Source organism: Homo sapiens, chromosome 11 (genome assembly GCF_000001405.40).
Source record: "Homo sapiens chromosome 11, GRCh38.p14 Primary Assembly".
Taxonomy (NCBI): domain Eukaryota; kingdom Metazoa; phylum Chordata; class Mammalia; order Primates; family Hominidae; genus Homo; species Homo sapiens.
In genome coordinates this window covers 18,495,704-18,520,226 of record NC_000011.10, presented here as the reverse complement: position 1 = coordinate 18,520,226, position 24,523 = coordinate 18,495,704, and the positions used below count along the sequence as shown (strand labels likewise).

The 24,523-nt window shown below is 38.5% G+C and overlaps 1 protein-coding gene across 2 annotated transcripts in view; it reads left to right on the top strand.

The window, feature by feature from the left end:
* The window catches only part of TSG101 (tumor susceptibility 101), a 46,632-nt gene that overhangs the window by 6,716 nt on the left and 15,393 nt on the right, over positions 1 to 24,523 (top strand). For both annotated transcript variants that reach the window (NM_006292.4, XM_005253108.5), the window contains 6 exons: positions 624 to 708; positions 4,063 to 4,128; positions 5,386 to 5,549; positions 10,562 to 10,685; positions 13,304 to 13,370; positions 17,650 to 17,741. In NM_006292.4, the coding sequence (NP_006283.1) occupies positions 624 to 708; positions 4,063 to 4,128; positions 5,386 to 5,549; positions 10,562 to 10,685; positions 13,304 to 13,370; positions 17,650 to 17,741 (598 nt within the window). The remainder of the gene's footprint in view (positions 1 to 623; positions 709 to 4,062; positions 4,129 to 5,385; positions 5,550 to 10,561; positions 10,686 to 13,303; positions 13,371 to 17,649; positions 17,742 to 24,523) is intronic.

The window sequence follows — 24,523 nt, the reverse complement described above, 5'->3', positions numbered from 1 at the left end:
GAGTGAAATACAGATAAATGCTACAACGTGGATAATCTCAAAAACATGCTAAGTGAAATAATTTAGTCATGAAAGATCACATTGTATGAATAAGCAAATCTGTAGAGACAAAGTAAATTCGTGGTTGTCTAGGATGAAGGCTGGGGACAAGTAGAATGGGGGGTGATTGCTAAAGGGTATGGATTTCTTTTTAGGGATGGTGAAAATGTTCTGAAGTTGATTATGGTGGTGGTTACACAACTCCAAATGTACTAAAAACCATTGAACTATACTCTTTAAATGTGTGAATTATATGGTATGTGAATTATATCTTTAAAAAGCTATTAATGGTGAGTTAAATAATATAAATTATTGAGACGTTTTAACCAATGCAATGTGTGGACTTTATTTGGATCCTGATTCAAACTGAGAACATAAAAAACATGACTTGAGACTATAGATATTTACTGATGTTAAGAAAATAGTGATTATTTTAGTGTGATAATAGTATTATGGGTTTTTTAGGTTCTTTCAGGCTTTCATTAATGTTAACAATTAGTGGAAGAGATTTTAAGAAAATTCATCCAGCTGTAAAATATATGCATTGGTTTTAAACTAAATTCTTATGCGATTTTGCTTTTCAGTACAAATACAGAGACCTAACTGTACGTGAAACTGTCAATGTTATTACTCTATACAAAGATCTCAAACCTGTTTTGGATTCATATGGTGAGTTTATGCAGTAAAAATAGCAATTTCTATACTTTGAGTTTACTCTCTTTGTTAATGATTGTAATTTTTTCCATTTGAGGTTTGTGGATTTTTCAATTGTGGGATTGCACCACCGCCTAATAAAACTGTTGGAGGGTAGCAAATTAGAAGATCTAATAAAAACATTTCATATTTCTTTAGTTTTAGTTTTTTATGTTAAAAAAAAATACTGTACCTGGATGTGGTGGCTCATTTCTGTAATCCCAGCACTTTGGGAGGCTGAGGTGGGTGGACCACTGAGCCCAGGAGGTTGAGACCAGCCTGGGCAATATGGTGAAACCTCGTCTCAACAAAAAAATACTTAAAGTTGGCCTGGTGCTCCTGTAGTCCCAGCTACCCAGGAGGCTGAGGTGGAAGGATTGCTTGAGTCCAGGAGGCAGTCCAGGAGGCAGAGGTTGCAGTGAGCCGAGATCGGGCCACTGCACTCCAGCCTGGGCAACAGAGCAAGAACCTGTCTCAAAAAAATAAAAAACAAAACCTCTAACATAGAACTATGCAAATTTAAACCTAGGAGGGGATGTTAAAGATAATTTAGTCCATTTCCCAAAGTGTTGTCTGTAGACCCTTAGTTATGCTGGGAACAGGGGTAGAGGCAGAATTCTATAGTTAAGCTTGAGCAACTTATGGATTAAACAAAATTGAGTTTCATTGCATGAAGATTTATCAGAGCCTTTAGTATGCTAATGTGTTGTGTATCACCGAGACGAGCAAGAATATATTGTATAATACATCCTAAAGTTATTTAACTGCTGAACCTCCCTGCCCCCATAGTGTCTCTTTATATTTTCAGGAACACATTTTGCGAAACTATACTCTGGACTGTCCCTTTCATTTTATAGATGAGGAAAATGTTATTTAATGTGGTCTTTAATTCTGTAGAGTAGGTAAGCATAACAGTTTGTCTCTACTTTCTATTGAGACAAAGTTGTAAGGCAAGACAACGCTTGGAGTTTTCCTTATTTTAAAATAGTCTTTTCTGTCCCTACCAAATCCTAACATAATTTCTTCAACCCTGTCTCCTTGAAAATAATATGCCAGGGCCGAGGGAAAACCCATGCTGCTGCTTGTCCATTGTGAGTCCCTTAGCTCTGAAAGCAAGGAACTGAATTTTGTAGCTGAGACTTTCTAAATTTCATTTGCTTCCAAGGCTTTGAAAACATTAGGAAACTGGTGAAGAGAGGTGGGAAGCAACAGAGGGGCAATCAGTTCTGCATTTCCTGAACAATAAAGACATGAACCCAAAGTCCTCTTCCAAACCTAGGACACGATTCCTTCTCATCTCAGCCTACCTTATTTCTGTCTGCATACTATATGTACAATGGTATTTTGAACTACAAAGGCCTCACATTACCAAAATTAAAGTTAGTTTTTAAATGGCTTCAGTGGGGAGAAAAATGGTTGGAGCTAGAATTTTATAGTTTTTACTGCATATAAAAGAATAAATACATTTATCAAAACTGACAAAGACTCCATTATAAAGTCTTGTATAGTTTCATGTGGCTGGACTAAGTGTAAATCATTGTTAACAAATACTTTTAGAGTAAACAAAGCCCCAAATTTATATAAGGTGGTTTTCTTTTTTAAAATGCACAAAATCAGAATACATTGCGGTATAGCTTACATTCGTCAACAGTAAGTAAAATAACAAAGGTCAAGAATGTACAGTCGTGCATTTTGTAGTGATAGAGATATGGTCTGAGAAATGCATTATTTGGCAATTTCATCATTGAGTGTACTTAGACAAACCTAGATGGTATATCCTACTACACACCTAGGTTATATGGCATAGCCTGTTGCTCCTAGGCTACAACCTATACCAGATGTTACTGTACTGCATACCATAGGCAGTTGTAACACAATGGTATTTATGTATCTAACCGTAGAAAAGTTACAGTAAAAATACAGTATTATAATCTTATGGGACCAGTGTTCTTATGTGCAGTCCATTGTAGACCCAAACATTACACAGTAGATGGCTATAGTTCTATGTTTTTGTACTGCACATTACAACCTTTCCTCTATGGGTATAGTGTTAATTCCAAATTATTGTTAGAAATAATAGCTGTCCAATACAAACTATGTGCCATATTAATTATAGACATAAATTATAGATAGAAAAATGTGTGTGGTATGAGAAATACAGATTGAAAGAAATTGTTTATATTTGGCTATGAACTTTTCTTTTTTTCATTTTAATACTGGCTAAGGAGGCTGAGGCCAGGAGACCATTTGAGTCCAGGAGTTCAAGTCCAGCCCGGACAACTTAGACCCCATTTCTAAAAAAAAAAAAAGCTGGGCATGGTAGTGCACGCCTGTAGTCCCAGCTACACGGAAGGCTGAGGTGGGAGGATTGCTTGAGCCTAGAGTTTGAGGATAGCCTGCACAACATAGCAAGACCCTGTCTCCAAAAAACAATAATAAATAAATAACTGTGAGCGACTAGGGATAAATGTCTGCACATCTCTAAAATAGAAAGACAGTAGGTTAACATTTAGTATGGTATTGTTTGATAGTGTTTTTTTGTTTGTTTGTTTGCAGTGGAGTTTTGCTCTTGTTGCCCAGACTAAAGTGCAATGGGCACAGTCTCGGCTCACTGCAACCTCTGCCTCCTGGGTTCAAGCAATTCTCCTGCCTCAGCCTTCCGAGTAGCTGGGATTACAGGCATGTGCCACCACGCCCAGCTAATTTTGTATTTTTAGTAGAGATGGGGTTTCTCCATGTTGGTCAGGCTAGTCTCAAACTCCTGACCTCAGGTGATCCACCTGCCTCGGCCTCTCAAAGTGCTGGGATTACAGGCGCGAACCACCGCGCCTGGCCGATGGTGATTTTTAAATAGTTTTAAAAGTGACTCACACCTGTAATCCCAGCACTTTGGGAGGCCAAGGCAGGTGGATAACGAGGTTAGGAGTTCGAGACCAGCCTAGCCAACATGGTGAAGCCCCATCTCTACTAAAGATACAAAAAATTAGTCAGGTGTGGTGGCACGTGCCTGTAATCCCAACTACTCGGGATGCTGAGGCAGGAGAATCGCTTGAACCCAGGAGGTGGAGGTTGCAGCGAGCCAAAATCGCGCCATTGCACTCCATCCTGGGCAACAGGATGAGACTCTGAAAAAAAAAACAAAAAAGAGCTGATCAATGACATTGAGTGAATCAACAAAGAATTGTTAGTTATTGGACAGGATGGATGATACATTGACAGGTCAGCCCCTTTCAAGGATAATGATGAATTTTAACCAGTCTTTCTGAAAGAATAACTTATGGGAGTATCTTAAAAAATGCTCATGATTAAATCATTGTTCTTTCCTTTCAGTTTTTAACGATGGCAGTTCCAGGGAACTAATGAACCTCACTGGAACAATCCCTGTGCCTTATAGAGGTAAATGTCTTATTAGGTTTCCAGCATAGATGCATTTTGAATACATAATAAATATGTTGCCAAAGAGTTATAACCAAATTAAACCTACTTTCTCAGGGCTTTGATGCTGATATAGATTTTAACTTCTATTCAAATTGAAGTTCATTTGGCAGTAACACCTAACATTTTCAGCTTTCTTAAAACTTCCTTACCAAGATATATGAACAAATAAGTGCCTAAGTTCACCAGAGGAGTTTAATGTTTCACTGAATCAAATAATTGTAGAACTAGAAATGGATCTTACTTGCCTCCTAGTTCAGCCTCCCACACCATTCAAACTTTCCTGACAATGGGAAGCTAAGATATAGGCTTCAAAGTCAGGACAGAGTTATGTTTGAGTTCTTGCTCTATAATCTTAGCAGTTTTGTTACATGTTATATATGGATATCTTTGACATTTGGATAATAGTACCTAACTTGGGGGAAGTGAGCATTTATTAGATAATGAATGTAAAGGACGTGGCACAGAGCCTGGAATATAATAAGCAGACAGTTAAAAGTAGCTGTTATTTATGGTTGTGATGTTGGTGATAATGCTAATGATAGATAATTGATCTCTGTTAGCCTGTCTTTCACCCTCTGCTGAAATATTTAGTGGTGAGGAAGCATTTAGCTTAATGAGAGACCATTTTGTTTTTGGACAGCTCTGTTTGTTAATTATTCCTTGTAATTAGCTAAGACCTATGTCCTTTACCCATTGATTTCACATAGTACCTGCTATTCATAAGGCAATAAGGATAGGAGCTGTGGCTACAAAGATGAATAAAGGATGTACCTCTTCTGGAAGAACTCCACTAATAGGGGAAACAAAGGGAACAGATAGATATTTACACTATTCTGTAACTGCTATAGAATTATAAAATGAAAAAGTGCTATGAGATTACAGAGGAGAACAAGGCCACATGGGAAGATCACAGAGGAAGTGACATTTGAGCCACTATTAATAAGTCAACCATTCATAATAAACAGAGGGAAAAAACAGTTAATTGAGTATCAGCATTGTATAAAGCAAGTATAAGTTTAGGGAAGACTGAGTAAAATTTAAGATTACTGACTTTGCTATTGCCCTCAGGAAATAAATTCTGCTGGGGGAAATAGGAATGGGGGGGATGCGGATATATGTATAAATTGTATCTAGACTAAACCTCTGTTCCTTTAACCATTCTTCAATTTAAAAATAATAAAAATAGAGTAACTGAAGTTTCTATTTCTTTTTCAGGTAATACATACAATATTCCAATATGCCTATGGCTACTGGACACATACCCATATAATCCCCCTATCTGTTTTGTTAAGCCTACTAGTTCAATGACTATTAAAACAGGAAAGCATGTTGATGCAAATGGGAAGATATATCTTCCTTATCTACATGAATGGAAACACGTAAGTATTCATAGTGTTCTGTGAATTAGTTATGTTTTATATATTTTGCTCACTAGCATCTGCTTTCTTTTAGCACTCAAGGAGGATTCGAGGTAGGATAGATAAGTTCAGATAATGGACTAATCACTGAGTTGAGGGTAAATTAGAAAAGGCTGACTAAAAGAAATGGGTTTCTGTAGAGCTTTGTAATTTTCAGAATACTTATATTCAATATTTTGTTGGCTTTAGTTGAACCTTTTTAAAATAGGCAGGATTCACATAGTGGGAAGTGCATTTTAAAAAATAGTATCCTGGTGAGGTAGTTATGGAATTCAAATCTGATTACTCAAAGCATTTCTGTCAAGAATAATAGTAGGGAACTTCTGTTTATGTGTCTGATAGTGTAACTGTGACAGATTAATGTTCCTATGAAAAATAACTAGAAAAGCAAGAGAAAATACAAACAACACCTGTTGGAAGGCTTTGGAAAGCTGTTTAGGCAATCAAGACATGTATGGCCAAGATTCTGTAGAGAAGAAAACAGCAAAGAGATGAGGTAGTTCTGCCAATAACTTTTCCCCCAGGGTACTTACTGATTCCTTTTTTTTTTTTTGGAGACAGAGTTTTACTCTGTTGCCCAGGCTGGAGGGCAGTGGCACAATCTCAGCTCACTTACAACCTCCACCTCCCAGGTCCAAGCAATTCAGCTTGGTAGACTCAACCTACTGAGTAGATGGGATTACAGGCGCCCACCACCAAATACAAAAGTTTTGTATTTTAGTATTTAGTAGAGGTGGGGTTTCACCATGTTGGTGAGGCTGTTCTCGAACTCCTGACCTCAAGTGATCCACCCATCTCGGCCTTCTAAAGTGCTGGGATTACAGGCATAAGCCACCATGCCCAGCCTACTTACTTATTCTTGATGAAGGATGAAGGGCTGAGAATCTGGGCAAAGGGCCTTAGCTAAGAGGCAGAGAAACCTGCAGAGTCTCTAGCAGTCTCAGAGGGCTGAAAAGACAAAAGTTGCTGTTCTGTCTACCAAAGTAACTAGGACTTTTAGATCCAAGATTTGGGAGAAAAGCCATAAAGAAGTGAGTAGCTCTGGGGATGGTGGCTCATGGCTGTGATCCCAGGACTTTGGAAAGCTGAGGCAGGAGGATTGCTTGAGCTCAGGAGTTTGAGACCAGCCTGGGCAACATAGTGAGAACCCCATCTCTATAAAAAAATATTTTAAAAAAACCTTGGCATGGTGGTGTGTGCCTGTGACCCCAGCTACTCAGGAGGCTAAGGTGAAAGGATCACTTGAGCCTGGGAATTCGAGGCTGCAGTGAGCCATGATTGCATCACTGTCCTCCAGCCTGGACAACAGAGCAAGATCTGTCTCCAAAAAAGAAAAGAAAAGATGAGATACTCTGAATTTTCCCACCTTAAGAGATATGTTGAATTCCTGAGCTTCAAAGATAAGATGCTAAAAAAAAAACTAAGCAGAACGCCTCTGAAAATCAGCCAAGTTTTCAGCAGTCTTAGGTTGAGGAGGCAATTGGAGTTCAGTACCTTATCAAGAAGGGGAACAAGTAAACATCCTAGGCTGTTAGTTGGCACCACTGGAAGAACACATCTTAGGAGGGAGAACTTAGAGGTAGAATGAGCCTTATAAAAATCTGTCCTTGAGGCTGGGTGGGGTGGCTCACACCTGTAGTCTCAGCACTTTGGGAGGCTGAGGCGGGAGGATCACTTGAGGCCAGAAGTTTGAGACGAGCCTGGCCAACATGGTGAAATCCCATTTCTACTAAAAATATAAAAATTAGCCAGGCATGATGGCACATGTCTATAATCCCAGCTACTCCGGAGGCTGAGGCAGGAGAATCGCTTGAACCTGGGAGGCGGAGGTTGCAGTGAGCCGAGATCGCACCACTGCACTCCAGCCTGGGTGGCAGAGTGAGAGAGACTGTCTCAAAAAAAAAAAAAAAAAAAATCTGTCTGTCCTTCAATCAGCTCAGTCCCTGATCCTGACTGTCTGCCTGCCACAGGATAGGGTGAACCCTTGCTGGAAGAAGATAATATATAGACTCTCTATAATTTTTCACAATGTCTAGCATACAATTTATATTTATCAAGTACACCAAGAAAGAGAACCAAGAGGAAAAAAAGACAATAGAAACGGGACATCCCTCCACTCCACCCCCACAAACACACAGGTAACTTGGTTATCAGACACAGACTTAAAAATGGTTGTGATCAGTGCATTCAAGAAAATAGAGGACAAGATGGTAAATTTTATTAAAAAGAAACTAAGTGGAAATCTTAGAACTGAAAAATAGAATAATAGAGATTAAGAACTCAGTAGATGGGTTTAGTAGCAGACTGGACTCAGTAGAATAGAGACTGCCTCAACCTCCTGAGTAGCTGGGATTACAGGCGCCCACCACCACACCTGGCTAATTTTTGTATTTTTTAGTAGAGATGGGGTTTTGCTACATTGGCCAGTCTGGTCTCGAACTCTTGACTTCAGGTGATCCGTCCGCCTCAGCCTCCCAAAGTGCTGGGATTACAGGTGTGAGCCATTGTGCCTCGCCTCAGTTTGAATTCTTAACCTGTTGCTTTATATTAGGCCTGGAAGTAGATATTAACATAGATATTAATTTTTTTCTTCAAAGAATTTAGTGTAAAAGGAATGGTATGATAATTAAAACTTACCTTGACAAAACTGTAAGAATGTATGAATGAAGAATTGATTCATACTACCACATTAATGAATTCTGAAAACATTATGCCAAGTGAAAGAAGCCAAGCACAAAAGGCCATATATTGTATGATTTCATTTATATGAAACATTTAGGAAAGCAAATCTATAGAGATGGAAAGTAGATTAGTGGTTGCTAAAGGGCTGTGGGGAAAGGGAAACGGGAAGTGACTACTAATGAGTACAGGGTTTCTTTTTCGGATGATGAAAATATTATGGAATTAGATGGTGGTAATGGTTGCATAGCTTCGTGAAATAATAAAAGCCACTGAAATGTATACTTTAAAAGGAGAAAGTTTATGGGATGTGAATTATATTTCACCTACATGCATGAGGCTTACATGAGGCTATGATTTAGTTAAGGAATTTTGTTGGGCCGAAAAATTGAGAAAGCATGTGGTCTCAGTGGCCATCCCCACACACACCAGCCACAGTATCTGTGAGTGTTGCACAGATACTGTGCTTATAACACCCCGAGTCTCAGTATATAAATTTACAGGCAAACACAAGAAAAATATTGGAAAAGTAGATATCAGCAAGTTTTCACAGAAAGCTTTGAGAAATGTTATTAATTGTCATCTTCCATGAGTTAGGTCAAAATTGAACAAATGAGGTGAGTTTGGTTCTTTGGAAAAGGTGAAAACTGCCACTGAACTCTTCTGTCAGGAGTATTAAAAGAAGTGCCAATCCTAATCCTGTAATCCTGACTACTTGGGAGACTGAAGCAGGAAGATTGTTGAGTTCAAGTCTGAGCTGGGCAACATGGCAAGACCTTGTCTGGGGGGAGGAGGGGTGTAAAAAGTAGTTTCTATGAAGATGGTTAGCCTATCAAGGTGATTGAGTAATTCTTCAGAACTCAGTGAACTTATGAATGAAGTACGTGAGATGAGATATACACAAAATAGATTAAGGAGTAAAAGAAGAATAATCAAATAAGCCATTTTGAACAACTTTGTCTAGCACAGCTTAATTAGTGGTTGGTAGATATTTCTTTTGTTGTTTTTTGTTGTCGTTGTTGTTGGGTTTTGTTTTTGTTTTTTTGAAACAGGGTCTCACTCTAACCCAGGCTGGAGTGCAGTGGCGCAGTCATACTGCAGCCTCAACCTTCCTGGCTCAGGTGATCCTCCCGCTGCAGCCTCCTGAGTAGTTGTGACCACAGGCGCATGCCACCATGTACAGTTAATTTTTTTGTAGAGACCAGGCTGGTCTCAAACTCCTGAGCTCAAGCTGGATTACAAAATGGAGGGGAAAGTACTGGAATAGACCTAGAATTTTTAAAATTATGCATGCTGCAAAATAGCCTTATTTGATCCTCCTGCCTTGGCCTCCCAAAGTGCTGGGATTACAGGTGTAAGCCACCACCCCTGGCCAGTGCTCAATAGGTATTTGAGAGAAAATCTTAGTAACTTATGAAAAAATAGGAATCTCTTTGTCATTGTTGGAAGGAAAGATCCTTTAACAATTCACCCCTTTGTACTACAATCTAGCAATTTCTAAGCTAGAATCTACGTATAATTTTTTTGTTTGTTTGTTTTGAGACAGAGTCTTGCTCTGTCGCCTAGGATGGAGTGCAGTGGTGTGATCTCAGCTCACTGCAACCTCTGCCTCTGGGGTTTAAGCAATTCTCTTGCCTCAGCCTCCTGAGTAACTGGGACCATAGACGCACATCACCACACCCGGCTAATTTTTGTGTTTTTAGTAGAGATGGGATTTTGCCATGTTGGCCCAGCTGGTCTCAAACTCCTGGCTTCAAGCAGTCCACCCACCTTGGCCTCCCAAAGTGCTGGGATTACAGGTGTGAACCACCTCACTTGGCTAGAATCTACCTGTAATTTCAGAGTTCATAATATCTTTAATAAAAATTAATTTTAAGAACACGTATTTCCAAGATATCATTGATGTCTTTTAATGGCCTTTAATAATATTGTGACTGTTGCTCATATTCATCCCTAAATTTGTACCAGTATACTTATAATACATTGTACAGTGGCAATAAAATAAATTTTTGTTAGTTCTGTGGAGTCAAATGAAGAACAAAACTCTATGAATTTTGCAATATGCTGCTTTAACTAGTGCTATTTTTATATACTTGAAGCAAGAACCTTGCTGCACATCATGTTTAAAACCACTTAACTCTATTAAAATAAATTAATTAAATGAAATTTTCATGATTGGGGTCCTACAAAGAAAATTATCAAGCTGAGTTGAAAACCGATGAGAAATGGCTAACCTTTTTCTTTTTACTGAAAAGCAACTCTGTAGCTGACTTGAATTTTTTTTCATTTTGTAGCCACAGTCAGACTTGTTGGGGCTTATTCAGGTCATGATTGTGGTATTTGGAGATGAACCTCCAGTCTTCTCTCGTCCTATTTCGGCATCCTATCCGCCATACCAGGCAACGGGGCCACCAAATAGTAAGTAGAATTGAGATTTTACTTTAAAACTCATATAAACAAAAGAGAACAGAAACCTTTGTAAAAAAATAAAGAAAAATAATGACTTCTTTGCTTTTTAGTTTATCAAGCTAGTGGATTTTTTGGAAGTATTCTGAGGCCCCACATCTGCATGTACAGATTCCCACCAAAGACTGGCATTTGGGCTTCCATTTGTAGGTAGAAATCTAAGAATGGTTGTGCTGGATTCCAAAATGGAGGAGAAAGTGTAGAATAGAGCTAGAATTTTTAAAATTATGCATGCTGCAGAATAGCCTTATTTGATCAGCTTGGAAGCACATATAACTTGAAAGGTAGTCTGACCTCTCCTTTCTCTTTGCAACTACAAAATCAGTGTTGTAGATAAGGATTAAGGTCAACTGAAGCGTTCACATTCAGCTATTCTGGGTATACACAATTGGACATCTAGCTCTTAGCTTTCTTCTCTTTCGTACAGCCAATTCATGATTTTACCTTGTGTGGAGTGGTGGGAGCATGGAGAGAGTGTTGCTTCTCCCCTAATTGGAATATATTATCTCTGTTATCTCTATTTTCTTGAATAATTCTTACTGATACTTAAAAATCACTCTGAATAATTGTGAGTTGGTTGTACTTATTTTGAATTTACTAAATCTGCATTGATTTCACTGTGTTTTGAGCTGTGACTTTTTTTTTTTTGGTAAATTTTCTTTAAGATTATAATTAACCAAACTTGTTTATCTTACAAGACAAATTATATGTGCTTTCATTTTTCTTCTGCTGAAAATTATACTTTTTCCTTTTTAATCCATTCTTTCCTGAGGAACATCTTGGTTTATAAGCTGAATGGGAATTTAACAGAAAGAATTTTTGAACCCATTTCTCTTTCCTTCCCTACCTTCCCAGAATAAGCTTGATTTTAGGATTACTATTTCTTTTAGTAAAGGTACTGGTAATTCCTTTGGATTAGAAATTTGTTTTTATCTTATTAAATTCTGTTGACTCTAGTGCCCAAGAGTAGAGTATCTTGCTTAAGTTTGAAATACGAAATATTTGGCCGGGTGTGGTAGCTGTAACCCCAGCACTTTGGGAGGCCGAGGTGGGGGTGGATCACCTGATGTCAGAAGTTCAAGACCAGCTTGGCCAACATGATGAAACCCCATCTCTACTAAAAATACAAAATTAGCCAGGTGTGGTGGTGCATGCCTGTAGTCCCAGCTACTCGGGAGGCTGAGGCAGATGTTGCAGTGAGCTGAGATCGCATTACTGCACTCCAGCCTGGGTGACAGAGCAAGACTCTGTATCAAAAAAAAAAAAAAAAAAGATATCAAATATTTCCTAGTCTCATTACCTTTGTTTATTTGCTCAGATAATATAGCGAGTGACCGCTATGACAAAGGTAACCTTTTCAGAAATTCAGGTAGTCTCCTAAGCAACTTTTTTTTTTTTTTGAGACAGAGTCTCGCTCTGTTGCCCAGGCCGGAGTGCAGTGGTATGATCTGGGCTGACTGCAACCTCTGCCTCCCAGGTTCAAGTGATTCTCGAGCCTCAGCCTCCCAAGTCGCTGGGATTACAGGCCCCCACCACCATGCCCAGCTAATTTTTGTATTTTTAGTAGAGTCGGGGTTTCACCATGTTGGCCAGGCTGGTCTCGAACTCCTGACCTCAAGTGATCTGCCTCGGCCTCCCAAAGTGCTGGGATTACAGGCGTGAGCCACCGCGGCCGGCCTGCAACATTTTTTTTTTCCTAAATTTCTTTGAGTTTTAAATTGACATTGGAAGTGCAGTATTCAAGAAAGAGACCATACTATTGTTACTGTTGCAATTCAATTTTGTACTCAGTCACTGTAAGTCATGTTAAACACTCTAGAGCAGATTCTTTACTATTTTTTTTTGTCAGTTAAGCTCAAGATTAACTTCTCTTTTTCTTCCTCTATGTTGATTAGCCTCTTGGCACCACTGATCTTAGTTCTTTGGCATTCACGTTCTCTTTAAAGAATGTATAAAGTATTCTTTAAGCTTGCTGGGTTTTAACCTTTTATCCCTAGTATTTCTAAGCTTTTGTTTTGTTTGTTTCTTTGTTTTGAGATAGGGTCTCACTCTGTCACCTAGACTAGTTTTTAACAGTCTGGATAATGTAAGTTTTGTATAGGACTTCTCATAGTAGTTTGAAGTCTCTTGAAGTCTTTAAACCAACAAAATCAGCTGTGCTAATTGGCCAACATAGTTATAAAAGAAATATCAAAAGATTTATTAGATATAATAAAGAAGTTACTTTCTAAGAAGTTAACCTTGGACCGAAGAAGGCCAGAATTACCTTCCTCTAAATTTGAAATTGAACTTGCTCTTAGGTAATAGACTTCTTGAGAACTTTAAAAGCTGACCAGGTTGACCTGTTTGCCAGTTCTTTTGGTAGGGATTGTCATAAGTATTGTAATTCATGTTTAATGATTTCAGGATTATGAAAGGGAGAGGTATTTGTTTTGTTTTGGTGCTGAGATTTGGATTTTTTAACTGTGAAATTTTGCTGTGTATTGACAGTGTGATGTATATCTTATTCAGTAGCCTACATATTCAGGCCTTGTATATTATTTTTACAATGTGAAAAAAATTGTTTTTAGCTTCCTACATGCCAGGCATGCCAGGTGGAATCTCTCCATACCCATCCGGATACCCTCCCAATCCCAGGTAATGAAAAACGTTCTTTTGAATAATTGTATTACAAATTCTTCTATTAGATCTAGAATCAAAATAATTTGCTAATTAGGGCATTAAAATAAATTTAATTGCAATTTAGTGGAAGATAAAACTTGGTTTATTCCTGGAATTTATTTATTTATTTATTTATTTTTTTTGAGATGGAGTCTTGCTCTGTCACCCAGGCTGGAGTACAGTGGCGCAATCTCGGCTCACTGCAACCTCTACTTCCCCAGTTCAAGTGATTCTCCTGCCTCAGCCTCCCTAGCAGTTGGGACTACAGGCTGTGCCACCATTCCCGGCTAATTTTTGTATTTTTAGTAGAGACAGGATTTCACCATGTTGGCCAGGCTGGTCTCAAACTCCTGACCTTGTGATCTGCCTGCCTCAGACTCCCAAAGCGCTGGGATTACAGGTGTGAGCCACCATGCCCAGCCTATGTATTTTTTTTTTTTTAAAAGAAGAGAGTATTATAAAATATTTTTCCCCTTGGCTGAATTCATTATAACTAGCATTCCATTTAATATTTCAGCTATCTATACTAGATATACAAATTTCTTAAAAGGACTTCAAGATCAAAAACCAATTGAGATCACTGTCATTACTCAACCCATTTCTTTCCTCTTTAAAATAAAAATGCAGCCCAGGAGCTGCTTTTCTGTAGATTGAAAGAAACTCCTTTCAAATTATACACACACACCTTAAAATTCTAGCAATAAGGCCGGGTGTGGTAGCTCACACCTGTAATCTTACCCAGCACTTTCGGAGGCCGATGCAGGCGGATCACCTGAGGTCCTGAGGTCAGGAGTTCGAGACCAGCCTGGCCAACAGAGTGAAACCCCATCTCTACTAAAAATACAAAATTAGCCAGGCATGGTGGCACATGCCTGTAATCCCAGCTCTTTGGGAGGCTGAGGTAGGAGAATTGCTTGAACCCAGGAGGCAGAGGTTGCAGTGAGCCGAGATCGCGCCATTACACTCCACCCTGGGCGACAGAGCAAAACTCTCTCTCAAACAAACAAAACCCCACAACCTATCTTTTCTATACATTGCAGGAATCAATTAATGGTTCAGATAATGGGGTCAAACTTGTCGCATGATATTTACTTATTCAGTTCATAGACTACCTGTACTATCAACCTTTATTATCCATTTAGTAATAACATAGGTAACTAAATTAAATTAACAATGAAATCAGTCTGTTAACACACGCTAGAAAGTCAATGATAAATAATTACTAACCCATGTTTTAAATGTGTACTTGTTTCAGTGGTAATCTAGGAGTACTCTCCAAAGGTGGTCTATGGGCTAACTTAAAATCCCACCCAGCACTTTGGGAGGCCGAGGTAGGGATTGCTTGAGCCCAGAAGTTGGAGACCAGCCTGGGCAACATAGTAGACCTCATTTCTACAAAAAAAATTAAAATTAGCCAGGCATGGTGGTGTGAACCTGTAGTCCCAGCTACTTGGGAGGGTGAGGTGGAAGGATCACTTGAGCCTACAGATCGAGGATGCAATGAGCCGTAATTGCACCACTGTACTCCAGTCTGGCCAACAGAGTGAGAACCTGTCTCAAAAAAAAAAAAAAGATTGGCATATACTGATGCCAAGATGAGACTTCCAGCTGCTCTAACAATTAGCAAGGAAAATTTAACTCTACTAAGTCTTCTTAGTTTCATATAACCCAGTCATAATCCTCATGGATAAATGCAGCCAGATTTCTGAACACATGTCATAGGTAAATATATATATGTACATATATAATATCTAGGATCTTGAAAGTTAATTTAGCAAACACTTCATTTCTGGGTTGTCTTAATTTCACAACTTTTTAGAAGGTAATAAGCATTCTGTCACTTTGGATAGGTAAGCAGAGATTAGAAGAACATTTGTCAGGGACAATAGAGAAAGATTCCTTTGGTAGTAATATATAAGCAGGTTATTCATTTTAGATTTCTTGAGGCCCTAAATTTTCTGATTAAGTTCTAGAAATGGAATCCTACCTGAAGCCTTGAAATTACAAGGCTACTGAACAATTGCTAGTAAAAAGCAGCTTTGGACATAGAGGGAATAATTGTTGAAGGTACACTATGGAAATGGACTTCTGAACAATAAAGCTACAGATGGAGATTTCTCTGAAGTTAATATCTGTAGGCTTAGAAGAGTTTTATACCAAGTTACAAAAAAATTCAGCAATGTGATCACATTATCTTTGCAAAGGTATGCAAAATGGGAGAAACTCCAGAAAAAAAGAGCAGTTTATCCCAGTTTTCAGAAAGGTGGATTTAGAAATTTCAGTAGGATTGACATTTCTTTACAGCATTATAGCATGGATTACTGAAGAGACTAGAAACAAAAGTACTGTGTTCAGTAGCCTCCAGCATGTGTCCACTAGGAACAAAAATGCTTTCTTTTTTTTTTGTCTGATTTTGCTTTTATACTGATATATAAGAGAAGTACCATGATTACATTGAATCTTCAGCAAGTCATATATAAAACTTAGTTGAGGACAAGTTATAAAGTGGAAGCTGATAATACAAATAGGAGAATCTTTGAACCACTGCATTGAAAAAGGATTATTGACGATAAACTCAGAAGGAGCTCTTGCTCCAGTGTCCTAGGCTAGCTTTTTTTTTTTTTTTTTTTTTGAGATGGGGGCTTCACTCTGTTGCCCAGGCTGGAGTGCAGTGGCATAATCTCAGCTACTGTAGCCTTGACCTCCTGGGCTCAGGTGATCTTTCAACTTCAGCCTCCCAAGTAGCTGGGACTACAGGTGTGTGCCCCTACACCTAGCTAATTTTTCTATTTTTGTAGAAATGGTTTCGCCATGTTGTCTAGGCTTGCCTTGAACTCCTGGACTCAAGTGATCTACCTGCCTCAGCCTCCCAAAGTGCTAGGATTACAGGTGTGATCCACTGCACCCAGCCTGGGCTAGCTCTTTTTAATCAGTAATTTTAATGCGCTTGTAAAAGGCAAATGTCATAGAATTGATAATTATAGCTAAAATAGGATTAATTGAGATTTATTGTCTAACTAACCAGGTGGCCAGTAATCATCCTATTCTAATTTTCTTCTTCGTTGTAAGGGAAACACTGACTAGTAAGCATTCAGAGGAAAGCAATTAGATCTGAAAATCATGTCCTGAGACAAATGGTTAAAGGAATTAAGAATAGTTAGGGCTGGGTGCGGTGGCTCACAGCTGTAATCCCAGCAGTTTGGGAGGCTGAGGCGGGTGAATCACGAGGTCAGGAGATTGAGACCATCCTGGCTAACATGGTGAAACCCCGTCTCTACTAAAAATACAAAAAATTAGCCGGGTGTGGTGGCGGGCACCTATAGTCCCAGCTACTCAGGAGGCTGTGGCAGGAGAATGGCGTGAACCCAGGAAGTGGAGCTTGCAGTGAGCTGAGATCACACCACTGCACTCCAGCCTGAGCAACAGGGCGAGACTCCGTCTCAAAAAAAAAAAAAAAAAAAATTTAACCTGAAGAAGAGAAGCTTGAGGGAAAAATGTTAGAAGTTCTCAAATATTCGAGTTTTAGGAGTCTCCAAATAGTTGAGTGTCTTCCAAAATGCAAATTTAGGACTCCTATTTATAAATTATATTGAAATGATGTTTAATGTTAAATAGAGAAAGATGACCATTTGTCAGGGATGTTATAAATGATGTGTGTAGATAAGAGATTGTTGGAAAGGTGATTGGAGTAGAATACCTCTAAGGAAAGTTCCTCTGACTTTGATACGAATACATGAATGACAGAAACTGTCCAGAAAGTGAGAAAAAAGGTTTTTTTTTAAACTAAAGATGAGTTTGGTACGAATGTTATCAAAAGAGGAAAAAAACTATTTAAAGACAAGTGTTTTCGGGTTAAATATCCCCAAAGGTTACCAATAAGCCACAGGTACAAATTAAATAGTATCATTTTCCCACAGACTGAGAAATCGGAAAAGTTCTCTCACAAATTACTTGTTGCTTCTGATGCTGTTGGATTGTCCTTAGAAATACTCTAGTTACATTTCCGCTGCTATGAGGGTGACTCTCATATAACTGGGACCAAGCAAGAGCATTTAGCCATTTAAGAGTAAATGCAGTGTCATTAATACAATTTCCATAGAGCTTTACTTGAATAAACACTTGCAGCTCCAAGACTATAAATTCATCAACTGGTAAAACAACCATATGTCAAGCTTAACTTCCTGAATGGGGTTCTTCAAAATACTATAAGGTTGGGTCATCTTAAATGTTAAATGTTTTTTGTTCTTGTCTTTAGTGGTTACCCAGGCTGTCCTTACCCACCTGGTGGTCCATATCCTGCCACAACAAGTTCTCAGTACCCTTCTCAGCCTCCTGTGACCACTGTTGGTAAGTACCCTTGAAAACTTGTGTTTCACCATATAAGCAAAGTCTAACTCCCTGTTGTGAAAAGCACATTTCACTTGTGAATTTTGGACTACTCTTTCTTCTTAGAGGAAAACCTATAATAATGTACTATAATCTTAAACTTGAAGTAAATGACTTAACATATAAATGAACCTTCTACCAGGGCATGAAAATAAATCTGATTAACTCATCAATCTTTCTTTTGATCACATAGTTTTATTTGTGAGCCAAACATGTGTTGAACTATTAGCAGATACATAGATTTTCCTAGCTTGGTTATATGTGAAAACAGATCACCATCATTAAGAGAAGAAAGTAAAATGGGTTAATATGAGCAGGTCAAATCAGACAAATGATTGAAGACCAGTAGTTTTTGCTTTTTGTGTTTGCTTATTAGCGTTACCTGAAATATAATTTTCTTCAACTAAAAAAACTAAGGCAGTGAGAGAATTTCTTTAGACTCCAGCCTTCACCTATGCCTATCTCCCACTACCTGCACCACCATATCTGCCTTCTCCCTGTTACCATAAGTTGGTTATCTTTGCTTCTATCTAAAGCTGATTTCTCCACTAGACCTTATCCCCTCTAATGTACTCAGGGGCATCACTTCAGCAGTTCCTTCCTCTCAAGTTTTGTTCTCTACTGGATGACTCATCAGCACAGAGAACCATGCCCTAAAAAAGCCTTAAAGAGTCCAATTGAGACAAACAAATGGAAAGACATTTCATGCCCATGAAGAATTAATATTGTAAAAATGACTATATTACCCAAAGCAGTCTGTAGATTCAGTGCAGTCTGTGTCGAAATACCAATGTCAGTTTCCATAGAAATAGAAAAAGCTATCATAAAATGTATATGGAACCAAAAAAGAAGCCAAATAGCCAAAGTGATCTTGAACTAAAAGAACAAAGCTGGAAGCATCATACTACCTGACTTCAAAATATATTACAAGGTTATAGTAACCGAAACAGCATGGTATTGGTATAAAAACAGAAACAGACCAATGGAACAGAATAAAGAACCTAGAAATAAATCTACATATTTACAGCCAACTGATTTTCAGCAAAGGTGCCAAGAACATATATTGGGAAAAAGACATTGTTCATAAATGGTGGTGGGAAAACTGGGTATCCATATGCAGAAGAATGAAAACTGGACCCCTATCTTGTACCACATACAAAAATCAACTTGAGATGGATTAAAGACTTAATGTAAGACCCAAAGCTATAAAACTACTAGAAGAATACATAGGGGAAACCCTTCGGGACATTGGCCTAGGCAACCATTTTATAGTTAATATCTCAAAAGCATAGTCAACAAAAATAGACTACTGCGATGATACTAAATTAAAAAGCTTGTGAGCCAGATGCAGTGGCTCACGTCTGTAATCCCAGCACTTTGGGAAGCCAAGGCGGGCGAATCATTTGAGGTGAGGAGTTCAAGACCAGCCTGGCCAACATGGTAAAACCCCGTCTCTCCTAAAAACTAAAAATGCAAAAATCTGGGCGTGGTGGTACACCCCTGTAATCCCAGCTACTTGGGAGGCTGAGGCAAGAGAATTGCTTGAACCTGGGAGGTGGAGGTTGCAGTGAGCTGAGATCGCACCACTGCACTCCACCCTGGGCAACAGAGCGAGACCTTGTCTCAAAAAAAAAAAGCTTCTGCACAACAAAGGAGATAGTCAACAAAGTAAAGAGACGACCTGTTGAGTGGGAGAAAATATTTGCAAAGTACCCATCTGACAAGGAACTAATAAATATACAAGGTATTGAAACCACTCAACAGTAAAACAAACCATTAAAAAGTGGGCAAAGAACATGAATAGACATTTCTTAAAGGAAGACATACAAATGGCCAACAGGTATATGAAAAAATGCTCAATATCACTCATCATCAGGAAAATGCAGATAAAAACCACAAAGAAATATAATCTTATCCCAGTTTGAATGGCCATTATTAAAAAGACAAAAAATAAAAAAATAACAAATGTTATTGAGGATGAGGAGAAAAGGGAACTTATACAATGTTGGTGGGAATGTAAATTAAAGCCACTATGGAAAACAGTATGGCAATTTCTAAAAAAACTAAAATTAGAACTACCAGACAGTTCAGCAATCCCACTGCTGGGTATTTATCCAAGGGAAAGGAAATCAGTATATTAAAGGAATACCTGTACTCCCATATTTATAGCAACAGTATTCATACTAGCTAAGATATGGAGTGAACCTAAATATTTATCAGCAGATGAATGGATAAAGACAATGAGGTATGTGTACACAGTGGAATACTGTTCAGCCATAAAAAGAATGAAAACGTCATTGTAGCAACATGGATGGAATTGGAAATAAACTAGGCGCAGAAAGACAAATATCAAATGTTCTCATGTGGGAGCCAAAAAACTTGATCTCTTGGAGGTAGACAGTAGAATGATAGACACCAGAGACTTAAGAACGGTGTGTGGGTGGGATAGGGCTTATGAAGAAAGGTTGGTTAATGAGTACAAACATACAGTTAGATAGAAGGAATAAGTTCTAATGTTTGATAGCAGAGTAGGGTGACTATAGTTAACAATGTATTGTCTATTTCAGAATAGCTAGAAGACTTAAAATGTTCCTACCACATAGAAATGATAAATACTCAAGGTGATGGATACCCTAAATACCCTCACTTGAACATTACATTCCGTGCAGGTAACAAAATATCACATGGTACCCACGTAAATATGTACAAATATTATGTATCTAAAAAAATTTTTTAGGCCAGGCACAGTGGCTCACACCTGTAATCCCAGCACTTTGGGAGGCCAAGGCGGGCAGATTGCGAGGTCAGGAGTTGGAGACCAGCCTGGCCAACATGGTGAAACCCTGTCTCTACTAAAAATACAAAAAAATTAGCCGGGCGTGGTGGCGCACGCCTGTAATCCTAGCTACTCAAGAAGCTGAGGCAGGAGAATTGCTTGAACCCTGGAGGCAGAGGTTGCAGTGAGCTGAGATCAGACAACTATACTCCAGCCTGGGCAATAGAGTGGGACTCCATCTCAGGAAAAAAAAAAAAAAAAAAAAAAATATATATATATATATATATATTTAAATATAAACATATTTATATATAAACATATATAAATATACATAAATATAAATATATAAATATATATAAATAAATATATAAATATAAATATATATGATATATATAAATATATATAAAATATATATAATATATAAATATATAATTATATATCATATATAAATATATATATTTTATATATATATATTTAAAAAAGAATCCTCTTCTCTATTCCACTTTTCCTGCCACCACTATTGGATGTCTTCATTCTTCTCTGAATAACTCCTTGAAGTAACTCTCTTTGTTATCTTCAGTACCTCTTCTCCGTTTTTCTCTTAAACCTCCTTTTGGACTTTTTCTCATACCATTTTGCTAAAACTGGTCATGATTACCAATAACTTTTTGAGGTTACATCCAATGGATAGTTACTATTCTCATCTTACTTGTCCTATCAGCAGCATTTGACACAGTTGGTTACTTCCTCCTTGATACACTTTCCTCTTGTTTTCCAAAACACCATGCTCATTTTATTTTCTTCCTGTCTCATGGGTATTCATACTTAGTCTCCTCTGCAAGTTCTTCCATTTTTCTTAACATTGGTGTGACCCTGGCTTAGTCTCCTTGGCACTCTCTATCCTCACTCTCCTGATAATTTCCACCAGTTCAATAGCTTTAAATACCATCTCTGTGCCCCCAGTTCTCAAATTTATGTCTCTGACCTATACCTCTCTCCTGAACTCGAGATTGTTATATCCAGCTGCCTTTTCAGTATCTCTACTTGGATGTTTAATAGGCATCTCAAACTCAACCAAAACCGAATTCTCAATCTTCCTAACACCTGCCCCATCTCCATTGTTACCTACTCTATACTCTTTGGAGTCATCCTTGACTCCTCATCAGGAAATCCTCTTGTCTTCAAAATATATCTAGAATCTGATCATATCCAGTGCTGATCCAAGTCACCATTATGGCTCATCTAATTTACTTCAAAAGCCTTCCACAAGATTTCTCTGCTTCTTTCCTTGTCCCCCTACATCTCTCTTTTTTGACACAGCAGCTAGAGTGATCCTAATAAAATATAAATAAATTGTATCACTCCTCTGCTCAAAACCTTCAAGTGATTTCCTGTTTCACTCAGAGTTCAGTCCAAAGTTCTTGGGCCCAGAAGGCCCTACATGATCCTGCCCTCTTCCCCATTACTTTTCTGACCTCATCTCCTACTGGTCTCCTGTCTTAGGATTTGTCCACGGCCTATTTCTGTGCATGGATCAGCCAGGCCTATCCTTACCAATTTGCTGCCACCACCACCAATCCCCCCTCCAACCCCCCACCCACACACTCAACATCCAGAAGAGTGCTTGGTATATAGAAGTTTGCTGTTGAAGAGATTTGCTGAGTTCCTGAATGAACATAGAATCTTGTGAAGTTTATTTTTCTGTTATGTTTTCTGATAACTTGTAACCATCCTGAGGTCTGATGTAAATGTCATCCCCCCACCCCATAAAGGGTTATTTCCACCGTTTTTCTCATTGATACACACTATTCAGGTTCCAGTGGTGTGGTTTTGATTTATTAAAATGTATTTGTCATTAATGTAACTACAATATAATGAAATGATTGGAGTTAGAAACCTAAATGATAAAAGGTCTTTAATCCATAAGCAAAGCACACTAAATCTGGTGAAGCTCTCTTATTTTGGTTCAGCATTATCAATAAAATAGGAATAGTGCTGTTTGTCACCCTGTTTCTCATTGAAATAATAGTATAATCCTTTTGATTTGTAGAGAACCTTAGTTTACAAAGATCTTTTTTATATTAACTTGTTTCATTACATTAGGTACGAAGCATTTTTTTATAGCTTAGATGATTTCCATATATCCAAAGAATAGAAATGTGTGGAAAATGGTATATGTGGAATCAGATCTCATGTTTATGATTTTTGAACGGGTAATCAAATCAACTAATATTTTACTCTACATTTTCAAGAGTACTGTCTTAGGCATATAGGCTAGAGGCAAATTATTTTATGATAATTTAGGATATCCTTTAATATATATTGTTTTTCTACCCTTTGATCTTTACCTACTTGATTTGATTTTTTTCATCATATTTCATTAGTTGAACATTTAGTAGTCTGTTGAACTTTAGACTTAAAGGAAAGCAGAAACATAAAAGTATCATTTAGATATTAGAGTCCACAGTCACATTTTCTCAGTATATCAATGGTCACGATTTGGGCTGTTATTCTGTTACTGAGGCCATGAGAAAGAATGAATTTGGTTATTTATCCTTGTTTTTTTTGTTGTTGTTGTTTTTGAGACAGACTCGCTCTGTCGCCAAGGCTGGAGTGCAGTGGCGCGATCTTGGCTCACTGCAACCTCCACCTCTCAGGTTCAAGCAGTTCTACTGCCTCAGCCTCCCAAGTAGCTGGGATTAGAGGAGCGTACCACCACACCCGGCTAATTTTTATATTTTTAGTAGAGACAGGGTTTTACCATGTTGGCCAGGCTGATCTCCAACTGCAACTCCTGACCTCACCACCTGCCTCAACCCACCAAAGTGCTGGTATTACAGGCCTGAGCCACCACACCTGGCGCTATCCTTGTTTTTTGATACAGGATCTTGCTCTCTTGCTCAGGCTGGAGTGCAGCAGTGCTGTCTGCCCACTGCAACCTCCATCTCCTGGGCTCAGGTGATCCTCCCACCTCAGCCTCCTGAGTAGCTAGGACTGTAGACACATACCACCATGCCCGGCTAATTTTTGTATTGCCCAGGCTGGCCTTGAACTCCTAGATTCAAGTGATCCACCCGTGCTGGCCTCCCGGATTACAGATGTGAGTCACTGCACTAGGCTCCCTTGTTCTTTTTGAAACTTAGCAGTTTCACTCTGTAGATTTATTTTATTTTATTTTATTTTATTTTATTTTATTTTATTTTATTTTATTTTATTTTATTTTATTTTTGAGACAGAGTTTCGCTCTGCCACCCAGGCTGGAGTGCAGTGGCATGATCTCGGCTCACTGTAATCTCTGCCTCCTGGGTTCAAGTGATTCTCCTGCCTCAGCATCCTGAGTAGCTGAGACTATAGGCATGTGCCACCACACCCACTAATTTTTGTATTTTGTATGTTAGCCAGGCTGGTCAATCTCCTAACCTCAGGTGATCCACCTGCCTCGGCCTCCCAAAGTGCTGGGATTACAGGCATAAGCCACCTCACCCAGCCTGGATTTTAATTTTATGGTGTAATCTGAATTAAGAAAGATTTAAAATTTACCAGATGTTCAAAAATATTAGTATATAGTATGGTACCCAGAAGAGAATGGTGTTCCACTCAGTGACACTTCCATATGTTGTGAATTTATGTGTGAGGAATGTCAGTGGACTAATTGGCCCCTCCCTTTGGAGGATGTACTGTCAGCTGTGCTTGTGCCAGAATCTCCAGGTTTATTTGATCTCTGTAGAGTACTTTTTTTTTTTTTTTGAGACGGAGTCTCACTCTGTTGCCCAGGCTGGAGTGCAGTGATGCAATCTCAGCTCACTGCAAGCTCCGCCCTCCAGGTTCACGCCATTCTCCTGCCTCAGCCTTGATCTATGTAGAGTCCTTTTATCAGAGTGCTATAGACATCTTCAACCTCAGTTTACATAGTGTTTTGAAAACTAACTAGGGGAATGAGGAGGTGGTAGTCGGTGAATAATGAAGG